Source organism: Homo sapiens, chromosome 15 (genome assembly GCF_000001405.40).
Source record: "Homo sapiens chromosome 15, GRCh38.p14 Primary Assembly".
In the NCBI taxonomy this organism is placed as follows: Eukaryota; Metazoa; Chordata; class Mammalia; order Primates; family Hominidae; genus Homo; species Homo sapiens.
Window position 1 is genome coordinate 29,930,687 of NC_000015.10, and position 12,956 is coordinate 29,943,642.

At 40.7% G+C, this 12,956-nt stretch overlaps 1 protein-coding gene across 11 annotated transcripts in view, besides 1 other annotated feature; it reads right to left on the minus strand.

The window, feature by feature from the left end:
• TJP1 (tight junction protein 1) overlaps positions 1-12,956 on the minus strand; it is a 269,683-nt gene that overhangs the window by 231,320 nt on the left and 25,407 nt on the right. The window lies entirely within an intron of this gene.
• Positions 3,286-4,485: an enhancer, noted in NCBI's record as "CDK7 strongly-dependent group 2 enhancer chr15:30226175-30227374 (GRCh37/hg19 assembly coordinates)". NCBI's record gives its function as "activates an origin of replication core promoter dependent on BRD2, BRD4, P300/CBP, MED14 and CDK7 cofactors, with strong dependence on CDK7, by STARR-seq in HCT116 cells {active_cell/tissue: HCT116}" and the evidence as "EXISTENCE:reporter gene assay evidence [ECO:0000049][PMID:35650434]".

Genomic DNA, 12,956 nt, shown 5'->3' on the forward strand with positions numbered 1-12,956 from the left:
TCAATCACAGCCTCCATTCAATACTGTGCTGAAGTGCCTGACATGGAAGTAAGACAAAAAGGACTGGCGTAAGGATTGGAAAGGAAGAGGCAAGTCTGTCATAATGTGCAGAGAATAGGAAAGTCTACACAGAATAACTAAGAAAATCTATAAGTTATTAGAATTAAAATGAAAGGTTCCTGGTTATAACCTGAAAATACAATAGTCAGTTACATGTCTAGACATGAGCATAAAAATAAAAATATACAGCTGACACTTGAACAATGTGAGCGTTAGGAGTGCTGACCTTCATGCAGTCAAAAACCCACCTATAACTCCTGACTCCCCCCAGAACTTAACTACTAATAGCCTCCTGTTGACCAGAAGCCTTACCAATAACGTAAATAGTCGATTAACACATATTTTGTATGTTATATGTATATACCGTATTCTTACAATAAACTAGAGGAAAGAAAATGTTGTTAAAAAAATCATATAGAAGAGAAAATATAGTTACTGTTCATTAAGTGGAAGTGGATCATATAAAGGTCTTCATTCTTGTTGACTTCACATTGAGTAGGCTGCAGAGGAGGAGGAAGAGGAGGGGTTGATCCTGCTGTCTCAGGGGTGGCAGAGGCAGAAGAAAATCTGCATATAAGTGGAGCCGCACTGTTCAAACCCATATGGTTCAAGGGTCAACTGTAAGTCATGTACAACAGCAAAAAAACTATATAACAAATCAAACTAGTCACACAACATAAAGTTTTATTGAAAGTAATTTTAGAAGAATAGAGAGATGTACTCTATTCACATATAACGAGTCCAAATTATAAAGTTATTAATTTTCCCCATTCTAATTCTATATGTTCAATGTAATTCCAAACTCCTGCTAGGGTTTTCTGTGTGGAATCTGACAGATTGATAATTATAAAATGTATAAAGAAGATCAAAGAGCCAAGTACAACCAAGGCAACTTTCAAGAACCGCCTAAGGTGGGAAAGTACTTGCCCTACTGTTAGAGGAAAGGAGTCCCGATCCAGACCCCAAGAGAGGGTTCTTGGATCTCACACAAGAAAGAATTCAGGTGAGTCCGTAAAGTGAAAACAAGTTTATTAGGAAAGTAAAGGAATAAAAGAACGGCTACTCTATAGACAGAGCAGCCCCAAGGGCTGCTGGTTGCCCATTTTTATGGTTACTTCTTGAATATATGCTAAACAAGGGGTGGATTATTCATGCCTACCCTTTTTACACCATGTAGGGTAACTTCCTGATGTTGCTATGGCATCTGTAAATTGTCATGGTGCTGGTGGGAGTGTAGTAGTGAGGACCACCAGAAGTCACTCTTGTGACCATCTTGGTTTTGGTGGGATTTAGCGGCTTCTTTACTGCAACCTGTTTTATCAGCAAGGTCTTTATGACCTGTATCTTGTGCTGTCTCCTGTCTCATCCTGTGACTTAGAATGCTTTAACCGTCTGGGAATGCAGCCCAGTAAATCTCAGCCTCATTTTACCCAGCCTCTATTCAAGATGGAGTTGCTCTGGTTCACACGTCTCTGACAATACCAGCTTTCAAGATTTGTTATACAATTATAGTAACTAAGACAGGTTTCTACACAGGGAGAGGTAAACAGACCAAGGGAAAATAAGAGAGAAACAAATCCACACATATATGGAAACCTGGCATTTGACAGACATGGTATTATAGATCAGTATGGAAAGGATGAAACACCCAATATATGGTGCTGAGACAACTGGTAATCCACATTGAAAATAACAAAGCAATCTCTACTTCTTGCCACATCCAAAAACTAAATTTCAGAATAAAAGACTCAAATGTAAAAAGCAAACTTTAAAACTTTAAAAAAAATATGGGAGAACATCTTTATGACCTGGAAAAAAAAGGGTTTTTTAAAACAAGACATTAAAATAAAAGAAACCATAAAAGACTGATAAAATGACTACATTAAAATTATGAGCGAGAAGCAGAAAATAAAAGGTAAAATTACTGACAAGAAGACATTTCCAGTGTATATTACCATCAAAGGACTAATAACAGAATACACAAAGAACTCCTACAAATCAACAATCTTCTCTCCAAACAACTATTTTCAAAAGTATGAAAAGCCTCCATTTTTGTTTTCATTTTGAAAAATGAATTATTTAGGCTCACTGAAAATATTCTTTTCCTTATTGTAATTTCTAACACAGAATTCTAACACTGATTTTGAATAGTATTAGAACTATTGAAAACAATTTAATGATTAATACATTTGAACTGTTTTTATGATTATAAAATAATGTGTAACTATGAATTTTGTAAAGATATCAAAATACACATTTGAAATATTTAATTAAAATGTTAAAATTAAAAAGAAACAAATGTAAAGAGCATAAAAATCATTAAAAATCCCTCATGCATCACACACACACATTTTGTCAATATTTTGGATTTTTTCTTTACTTTGTTTCTATTAATAAATACATATACATAGATGCACAACAAGCTGGGTCCAAAGTGAGGGTGGCTTATTCAAGTGATGACATCCATCAGTCAGTAGATGATGCAAGCTAATGCTTAGGAAAGAGGTGAGGTCTGGGGATGTTGACTTGGGAGGTCATGCTTAGAGCAATAAAAGTTAAGACTCAGTCTTGGATGAAGAGATTGTAGGAAGAAAATAAGAGTGAGGACACAATATTAGAATAAGGAGCAGAATAATATGTTGGGAAAAATAACTTGAAAAAAGAGAAAGTACAATTAGATAGGTAGGAGGAGAATCAGGATATTGTGGAAGAATGTCAAGAAGAAGATAACATTCAACTGCCAATCCTGAAAAGAAGTTAAGGAGAATGAATCCTAAGAAAAGGCCAACATATTTAACAATTGAGAGAGACGGCTGTGGAGTAAACGTCTGATTACAGGAATGCAAAGAAAACAGATTGAAGGGATAGGGATATGTGCATATTTACACCACACAGTCAACAAATCTGGCCAGAAAGAAAGGTGGCAAATCAAGCTTTTTTTCAAGATATTAGAGATCTGTTATCTGTCTACCTTCTCTGGGCGAGAAGCCCAGTATACTGAAAGACTAAAGATGCTGGGAAGAGAGAAGTAAACAAAAACACAAATGCCTGAAAGCAGAGGGAGAGGATGGACTTTAAAAGAGTTCTGGATCATGACTTGTCATCTGACACAGGAGAAAAGAACCGGGGTCACAACAGACATAGTTCAAGCTGAAGAGGACAGGAGAAACCTCTGGCTAGGTAAACTTAGTAATTTTAGTACCAAGGTACGTCACGGGACAAAACTCAACTTAAATCAAGAAGCATCCACACTAAACTATACCTAAGGGCTTATAAGAGACGAAAAAAAATCCCTCATTATGTCTTTGCTTCAACTCACCCATGACATGAGAACCAATACTGGTATTTGGGTGAAGCTTCAAAACAACTGAAACTATGGGGAATGTTTCAAACCAGTTAAGCACTGACATAAATGACTGAGAAACTCCGGTTTCCTTAAAATAAGCAAAATATTCATTTGTTTTGATATTATTTTTTGATGATACAAGTGTCCATCTGTAGTAGCTAGTCAATAAATATTGGTTCATGCTACCTGTACTGAATGTTTCTGTGCTACATGGTCAATTGCATAATTGCCAGTTTAAGGTACAGCATTAAGAGCAAAACAATTCACGGTGAAATACCCCACCCATGTTTTCCTACACATCTGTGATTCAACAAGGAATGTAATGATTCACAGTATTGGCATTAAGTTTATATTGAGGTTGCCCTTTTGTAACTGAGAAGTAGGGCTGGGTTGTCACTGTGATCTTCCCAATCCCTTCCACATCCAAACCCTCACTTCCCTTCTCAGCCCCACTTTGAATGACGCCAAGTTAAAACACTAATGTAGACATCCTCTGTCATAAAGCCAACAAACCAGAGAAACAAGAATGCTTATTGACCTCCTTCCTTAACTACTTCTTAAAAAGGGATCTAAAATTTATGAGTAATAAAATTCTAAAAAGAACATTTACCTTCTATGTGTATGCATAACTAAAGCCTACAACTGAAATATTTGGAACTTCTAAAGTAGTTTTCAACTTCAAATACAAACTTATATTAGAGACAAAAGCCATTAGCTTTGCTATGAGTAGTGTGAAGGGTTGATGTGACTTGAGGAAGCAAAGTTTGCAAAGATTTTCATTTGACTGTAGATTTACAAAATGTTTAACAATTTCAGTTCCTGAAATAGTCAATATAGGTTAAAATAAATTAGTAAGTTAAATGTGGAAGTCTTTAAGGTAATAACAAAGCAAGGCCATCAGAGGGAAACTGAGAATTATCTCTCTCAAATATCTGGAGAGTGACTGTCAAAATCAAGTCACAAAGAAATTACTACATTCACATTATTCCGTGTTCCACAGATGTTTCTTCTATTGCTCACATGAACTCTTTTCTCTTTGCTTTCACACTCACCAGTAACACTTGTAGATCTCCTAGGTCATTTGAACATTTAGCATTCAACTCTTTGATCAGTTCAAACTGCCTCCACAGAACATCTTTTTCTTTCAAGCGTTCCTTATTCTCAAAATGTTCCTTGAATTTCAACCAAATTTAAATTCCTTACATTTACCTTCTAAACTTTGTATTCACCTCCTCTGTTCCAATAAACAGGAACAACTCTCTAAGCCCTTGTGTCTTGTAGCAACCATTGCCAGGCATTTTCTTAAAATTCTTACACCTCCCTTGAGGTGCTGGTAGCTTTAGAAATGTCGCCGGAGCAGCATGAAATTAGCCATGACTAGGACAGGACAGTCAGGAATTGCTGAAGACTCTCATGCCTGCTTCACCACCTATGGTCATTACAAAGGACTTCAAAATTCCTGGCTTTTCCAGTCCTGGAATGACCCTGATCCCTGCCCCATTCCTATAGCACAATCCCAAAACCATACATGGTCTTTCTCACCACAGTTCCCCTGCCAATCTCTTAAATGCTCACATCTAATGCTTAGGCCAAGGCTCTTGTGTTGCACAAGAGGTCCCCTACACCCCCGTTCCTGCTGACTTCACCTCCTTGCATCAACAATCTGGTCTCCTGGGCCATCATTTCAATCACCCTCTCACCTTTAATCACAACTATTTCCTTCCTTTGTCTTTCTCCACATACCACCCTTCAAAACCAGCAGTGCCAGCTCTCCACTGCCACCCCCAGGCAGATGTGCTTTGCTGGAGAGAGTGACACCAGACTGGCCCTGGTACAGTCCTCAACATGTTCCTAGCCAGGGTTCCCTCTCCTTTTCTGGTCCTCAGCAGCAATCCTACATCATCACCTCTCTGTAGCATCCCCACCTTCTCCCTCTTCCTCAACTGGCAATCTCAATGCCCACTCAGGGAATGAAACTACCTCCCAACCCCAAACTGGTCTCTATATGAGTTCCCTCCTCGCTGGGGGTTTCCTCCCTCCTATGCGCTAGAGTCCATCCATCTGTCCCATCCCTACAGCACCAGGGCCCTCCATTCTCCCTTTCCCTCTGGTATCTTCGAAGACTCTCCACAGCCATCTAAAGATACTCAACACTCTCCCACTTAAAAAAAATGGCACATGTTAAAAATTAAAGACTTCTATAGAGAACATTAACACGCCACTAAATACTGAATAGAGTCGTCCAGTCAGTCTTCATCATCTAGCTCCTCTATGTTGCCAGCACCTGTCAGTGCCTGCCTTCCCCGGTCCAGCCTGTTGTAGACATTGTGCTCATTCCTTGTTTCTTGTTTCTTCAGCCCCAGAACCTTCCTAAGCCATCCTGACCAAGCCTTTGGGCTTCCTGTGTCTGCATCTACAGGGCCACCCGCCGGCTCTCCAAACTGAGGCTTTCTTCCCCACATCTGCAGTTCTGATTGCTCAACTCTTGGCTTGGTTTCAGATTAGTACTCCAGGTGCTGCAGTCTGACTAAACTCCCACTTACTGCACTCATGTCCAATCAGTGTCCTGACAAGACACCAGCTCCTTTTCCCTGGGGGTACAAACCTTATCTCAATCCCGCAAATTATTAGGGGTCCCCGTGCTCCCAAATTCATGTCACTACCACTAACTAGTGGAATGAAGTACTGTTATTGCTTACAGACCGCTCTACTGGGTTCATAAGATCCACCTTGGGTTTATCAAGTTCCCTTAGAAAATATATTTAGAACGCTGGCAGCCCAGTGGAGTCCAGCTACACAGCTCGGCGCGTTTACCCTGGGATCCCTTGTTTCTTGTTTCCTTTCATTTCCTTCTCCAACCAATTTCCCATCATACCTATGGGCAAACACCCATGTTATAACAAGCAATTCATTAACTACTTATTTTAAGTTATGGTGAAGTGTTATAACCATAATATTTATAAGTGTTATGAAATTTATAAGTTCTGAAATTTACACAATTCTTTCAGTGGTTAGCAAACCATACTACTATTATAGACTCTATTATATTTCATAACCACATATTATACACAACATGAGAAGATCTCTGTTTAAGAGTCCCACCTATGGTATTTGTAAAACCATTCAATCAGGCAAAAACAAATTAAAAAAGTAATATCAGATAGTAATACACTAGAAAACCAAACCTTGAACAAACATTTGGGGATCCCCAGGCTTACAAATGTATTGGTTTCTATTGGGTAAAGTCTTGGCTTTCTCATTTTATATCATTTAAACAAAGGAACTGAAAATTATATTTTAAAATAAAAACCATAATCTAAAACTAATCTAAGAAAATACTGAGAAAAAATAGCAGTAAATTTATATATTTTATCTTCTGTAATGAAAACTAAGGGGAAAAAGGCATGCTAAAAGCAACTAGTTCTAAAGTAACTTCATGAATGTACCACACAGAATACTTAACAGCTTTAAAAAGCAGTTATGAAATGCCCATTTGAACATCAGATGCCACGGACAGAACAAGTATCCAACCTAAAGCAGACAACACGGACCCACTCAAAGATATGCAGTGACATGCAGAGTCGTACTTCACACAATCCTCATTTGGAGAATGAGTCAAGAAGGGCAGCAGCGCGACCCTCCAGGCTTTTCCAAAATGACCCTCCTGATAACTGAGGAGCTCCAGCTGGGCTGTTCTTTTGCCCTGGTTCAAAATATACCTAGATGTGGAAAAGTACAAAGGCAAGCATTTCCCATCCACTAGAAAAGAAGTTCAATTATCAAATGCTAAATCTAGGTTACACTAAAAAAAATTAGATGAATTAAAATGTGGCCTGCCTCAAAGCAAGAGCATGTCTTACCAATCTTACTGTATCTCACTTAACATACTCAAGAGGAAAAGAAATTGAAGCATTTAAGTAGTCCATCTTCAACATTCTGCTGTGAATACAGGACCTGTAATATGCTTGTTCTACTTGACATATAAAAAGAATCACATTTATGTGGAAGCCTAAGGTTAAAACAGGTTTTTAAAATGTAAACAGCAGTAACATGAATGTATTGAATTACGTAAATCCCAAAACTTTTCATGCCACAATGGTATGGGAAGGTCGGTGACTGACTCACCTAAATAAAATGCAGTAAGTCAAAGTATATAGTTAGAGCAAAAGGAAAAAGATAAAAACATTTTAAAAACTAATTTATGGTTTTAATTCTCTATAATAAATCTTTTAAAAATTAATACACAGTAGAAAATGGAGAAACAAAGTTAATAAATGCTTACAAAGATGGCTTATGTTATATTAAACATGAAAATGATATCAAAGCATAATTATGAAATCGTCAAAAATCACGTTTGTAGTACAAGTTTACAGCTAGTTTTAAACAAAGAATTTTGACCAATTACTTGCAGAAAGTAAACAAGAAAAAAAGCTTGACTTCTTTCTGACAGCACGGAAGTCCTTATAAAACAGAGCACTATGTCATTCGACTACCACCCCCCAGTTATCACAGTTCTTGGTATATAAATCACCTTCGAATAAGCACAGGGTGTCTGAAATTTCCACTCTGCCCTAAGTAACACCATTCAAAATATCAATTGCTTCCAGCAATTCGAACAATGAAAATAACTTTAAATTGGAAAGATTATCCCACTTTCATCTCCACATTAAAGTCCATCCATCATAAATTTAAGTAGAGTTATGGTGGGCAAGACGTAGCAAGAATGAAATAAAGTATTTTAACCACAAGAGACCCAAACAGGACTTGGCAACGCTTCCTAACTGCACACGCTAGAAAGCCCTGCCCCCATGTGGCTGAAAGTCTTGCACAGCTGGCCAGCTTGCCCTGGGGCATAAGGGAGAAGGTTCATCCCCGAAATTGCCATGTTAAATGCCCACTTCTGGCTGTTGGAAGATTTAGGATACCATCTACTAAGCAGAAAGGATACCTTTTTCCCAGGCTCAGTGTCTTGGACAATGTGAACACACAACTAATAACTGCTGGATTATGGAGACAACAGCTTGTGTCTGCATAATGCCTTATGTAAGGTTCCCTCCCACGGATGCAGCAAACACGGAACATTCAAGTTCTGAGATGATGCTGAGGCTCAATTTAAATGGCATCTTTCCTGCTCTCAACTCTACTTTCCTGGTAATGCTTCATGACATACGATCTTTTAGTCATTATTCCTAAATAATAGTGCCCTGTCAGTACTGGGGGCAAAGGACGCATCTTGGCACTTGGAGCTTTTGCTATTCTCTCTCCACCTGGTACACACTCTGCAGTCTGTGACCCTCCATTTCCACCTCCAGCTGCCTGGAGTCTCTCTGCGAATGCTTCAATTCCCTCTGGTTCACAGCCCAAACCAGAGCCTACACCTGATTTACCATTAGCCATTTCCCAAGCCTGTACTCTGCTCCCCAACCCCTAGCACAGGCTCAGTGACTCTGAAGGTGAAAGCTGGCAGCAATGCTGGTGAGTCATAAGAGAAGGCAAGGAAAAATACCACCCAGCTACACACCATGTGCTATGGTCAGAATGTCTGCATCCTCCAAAATTCATTTGTTGAAATCCTAACCACAAAAGTGATGGTATTAGGAGGTGGGGCCTTTGGGAGGTGATTAGGTGCTGGGCTGGAGCCCTCATGAATGGGATTAGTGCCCTTACAAAAAAGGCCTAAGAGAGCTTGTTTGCCCTTTCACCATGTGAGGACTCAATGAGATGATGTCTGTCTACCAGGAAGTGGGCCTCCCCAGACACCAAATCTGCGATGGCCTGATCTTGGTCATCCCAGACTCCAGAACCATGAGAAATAAACTTCTGTTGTTTATAACCCCCCAACCCCCCAGTTTATGATATTATGTTATAGCAGGCAAAAAGCATTAAGACACCATGCACTTGAATAACAAACTCTGGAAATAGAGCCACTGTCAAGCCTATTAGTGACTCTCATTGTGAGACTTCCAGAATAAGCAGGCCGTAAGATATTCTGGGGGAAGACTGGGTGGGGTTTATGACAGCATCCAAGTCAGGTTCGGAGGAATGGGCCTTCCTCTAACCTACAAAGTCATAACTAGAAAGAACTTAACTATAGCATTCACTTCTCCACCTGCCATAGGAAAGAAAAGAGTAAATCATAGGGGAGACAAAGTGATTCCTTTCCTCTTGGTTTATAAAGCCTGCCCAGAGCCAGCACACAGAGCGTGTGCCCATGTCACAGGTGGCCCTCCCCTTCTGCACCAGGTACACAGTCAGGCCTCACGAAACATTAGCTACTACAAAATGTAGGACTTACCCAAAAAAGAACATGTGTAGAGATAGAAAACAACATATTCTGAAATGTCCATTTTTCATTCTAATGCTCAGCAGTCATATAATAACCAGATGAACTAAGCTGCTTTCATTTAGACTTTTGGGAACAGAATGGTATCTGTTTCAAGACAAATACAACCAATTTTCTATCTATACTTGAAATTACGTGTGTGTGCATACAGACAGATTCACTATGTTATTTATATGTTCCTCAGGGATGATTTACTGTTCCATAACAAACGTGGTGATCAAATGATTCTAATCACTGACTGAAAAGTAATGAAATAATCTAAGATCATCTCTGAAAAGCTGAAGCAGATCCATATTAGATAAAAAAGAATGACTTCCATAAATCGACTCATTCAACACACAGGAAAGCATTCTATCTTTATATTTCTGTATTTTTCAACCTCCTCTGGCCTGCTTGCCACCCCACTGCCCATGGCCTATGTCACCAATCACCTCCAAGTGACCCCCACCCTCGCCCCTGCCCCGATGACCACCATAACCACAGCACCCAGAGATGAGTCCACTGCACTGTGCCACTTTCACAGATGGGGGAGGAAGAGAGCTGTAACTGTCAGAAATACATGAAAACTGTCAAAAATACATGCCATCAGCTCTGGAGATTTTGAAGCACTGATGTCTCTCTGTTCTGTGAATGTATTAAAAAAAAATTACATTATCCCTCCTTTCAAGGTTAGCAAAAATAAAAGATGAACTCTACTTCCACCTCTGCAAATGACCTCCTACGACCGCAGGCAGGCCCACGCTGCCTTTGCCTTCCCCACCTGCTTGAGGCCACACACATCTCCGTGGACCACTCCTCCCTTCCAGAAACTCCCCTGTTCGCTTCTTCAGCCTCTACCCAGGAGTTTCCTTTGCTGGCCCCTCGCCTTCTGACTGCCTATGCACTGGTGAGGTTCCCTGGCCCTGCCTTAGTCCTCTCTCTGTTCACAAAACCATCCTAGCAGTAAAATCCTTTTTCCCAAATAAAATGGTCTGTGCTCCTCACCCTCCAGTAGAACAGATAAAAGCAGAGCTACTCTGGCTGAAGGGGGGAAGGAGGCTTGAGGCCACCCTCATGGGGCATCTCTACAGACCTCTAGGGTTGGGAACCACCAGCAGTTTCCTTCAACCAGCTGGTGTGAGCTCCATCTCCGGTCCCCCCTCTGCCCCCTCAACACCTCCCCACTTTTTGCCCAACAAAGTCATATGAGTCCTTCCAGATCCAGTTTCCCAGCCACCTTGTTTGTGATTCTTTATGTACAAAGTAGCTTTGAGCACTTCGTTATCCCCCAAGGCACTCTGCACCGCCTCCACCATTGTACACGTATCACGTGTTTGTTTACATTTTTGCCGGCTCCACTAGATTGTGACCATTTTAAAGGCAGACAAGATGATGACAATGGCGTGCATGCGTGTATGTGTTTGCATGTGATGGGACAGGGGAGTCTCAGATGAACCTAAAGTTAGGCTTAAACTGCTCTGGGTGTGAGGCTGGTGCACTGGTCTGCATGAAGAGGCCGTGAGGAGGGAAGCGACTGGAGAAATGGGGAGGAGAGGTGGCTGCGGTCTCCATGCCCGCCCACCAGAGCTGCGTCTCAGCCCTAGACAGAGAGGGTCAAGCAAAATCCAGGAACTGCTTTCATGAGAGACTTCACAAAATATTTGTTAAACCAGAATACTGAACGCATAATATTCTCTTCTTTGAAATAACATTTTCTCTATTCTTTTCATTAAGACCCAAATTTCTAAAAGGCCTATATTTTCTTCTCAGTTCTGATGAATAAAATTCTGCCTAAAGTCAGAGTCAATAAGCTCCCGAACTAGCAGTTGCTAATGAAAAGAAACTCTGAAGAGATGAGAGATGATGGCACAGGTCAACTGGAATGGAGACAAAATACTGAGCTGCAAAACCGATCCAGAAAGCCCACTAGGTGGAGATGAAGGCCGGTACCACTCACAAGAATGGAGTCTTTGCAGCCTTTGTACTTACAACCATTTTTTAAAACAAGAGTTCTTGCAAGGTTGTCTAGAAGACTCCTTTAGAAATATCTGAACATTCACAGTTTAATCAAGAAAGTATCCATTAAGGGCAAAAATCTCCTACCAATTAGTTGTCAATTGGCAAACTGCATTCAGACTGGCCTCTGGAACTCCCAAAGTTATAAAAATAGCTGGATTCCTTTTTCTGCAAAAGAGCCTCAAGTCTCTCTGACTCCTCTCCGTTTGGAAGATTAATAACGGTGATAATTCTGGAAGACTCCTTTACCACACAGCGGTGCGTACCTCCGCAGAGGGCTGGCAGTGGGCCACAGCACACTCTGATGTCCCGTGCAGTTCACTGACACCCAGGTTAGCAACACAGGCTGTATGCTCAGTGAACTGGGGCTGGCAAGGGCAGGCCCGGGGGGACCTGCAAGGGAGGGGACTTGTTCATAAGCACCTATAAGAACCAACTCCCAAGTCATTTTTCTTTTCTTCCTTTTTTTTAAGTGAATACTCTCTGTATTTTGGTTAATCAACAATCTTTAGCACCCATTATGGACAAAACAATATGCTGCACACATACCAAGGATACAAGAAGGAACAAACTACCCTGGCCTGTGCTCTGATGGAGCGCACTTTCTCCTGGAGACAGATGAAAGAATAAATAAAATAACTGCAAGCTGTGATAAGACACTGGTGAAACCAAGACCACCAGCTCACCAAGTAACACTAGAAGATCGCCACAAGGGATTTTATATGTGTAAGAGAGAGAGCGGGTGGGCATCCTCTTTTGACATAAAAGATGATGGAGAAGGTCTTTTTTAAAACATGCATTCAGTCAAATCCATGAATTTAGCTAATCCTTCTTTCCCTAAGTGTGCAATTAGGGAAAACCTAATGACTACTTTACAAGTTATAGTTTTGGCTTCTTTTGCTATTTATTAAAAACACAGCCAGGCACAGTGGCTCACGCCTGTAATCCCAGCACTTTGGGAGGCCGAGGCGGGTGGATCATGAGGTCAGGAGTTTGAGACTAGCCTGGCCAACATGGTGAAACCTCGTCTCTACTGAAAACACAAAAATTAGCTGGGCATGGTGGCGTGCGCCTGTAATCTCAGCTACTCAGGAGGCTGAGGCAGGAGAATTGCTGGAACTGGGAGGTGGATGTTGCAGTGAGCTGAGATTGTGCCACTGCATTCCAGCCCAGGCTGACAACAGTGAGACTCCATCTCAAAAAAAAAAAAAA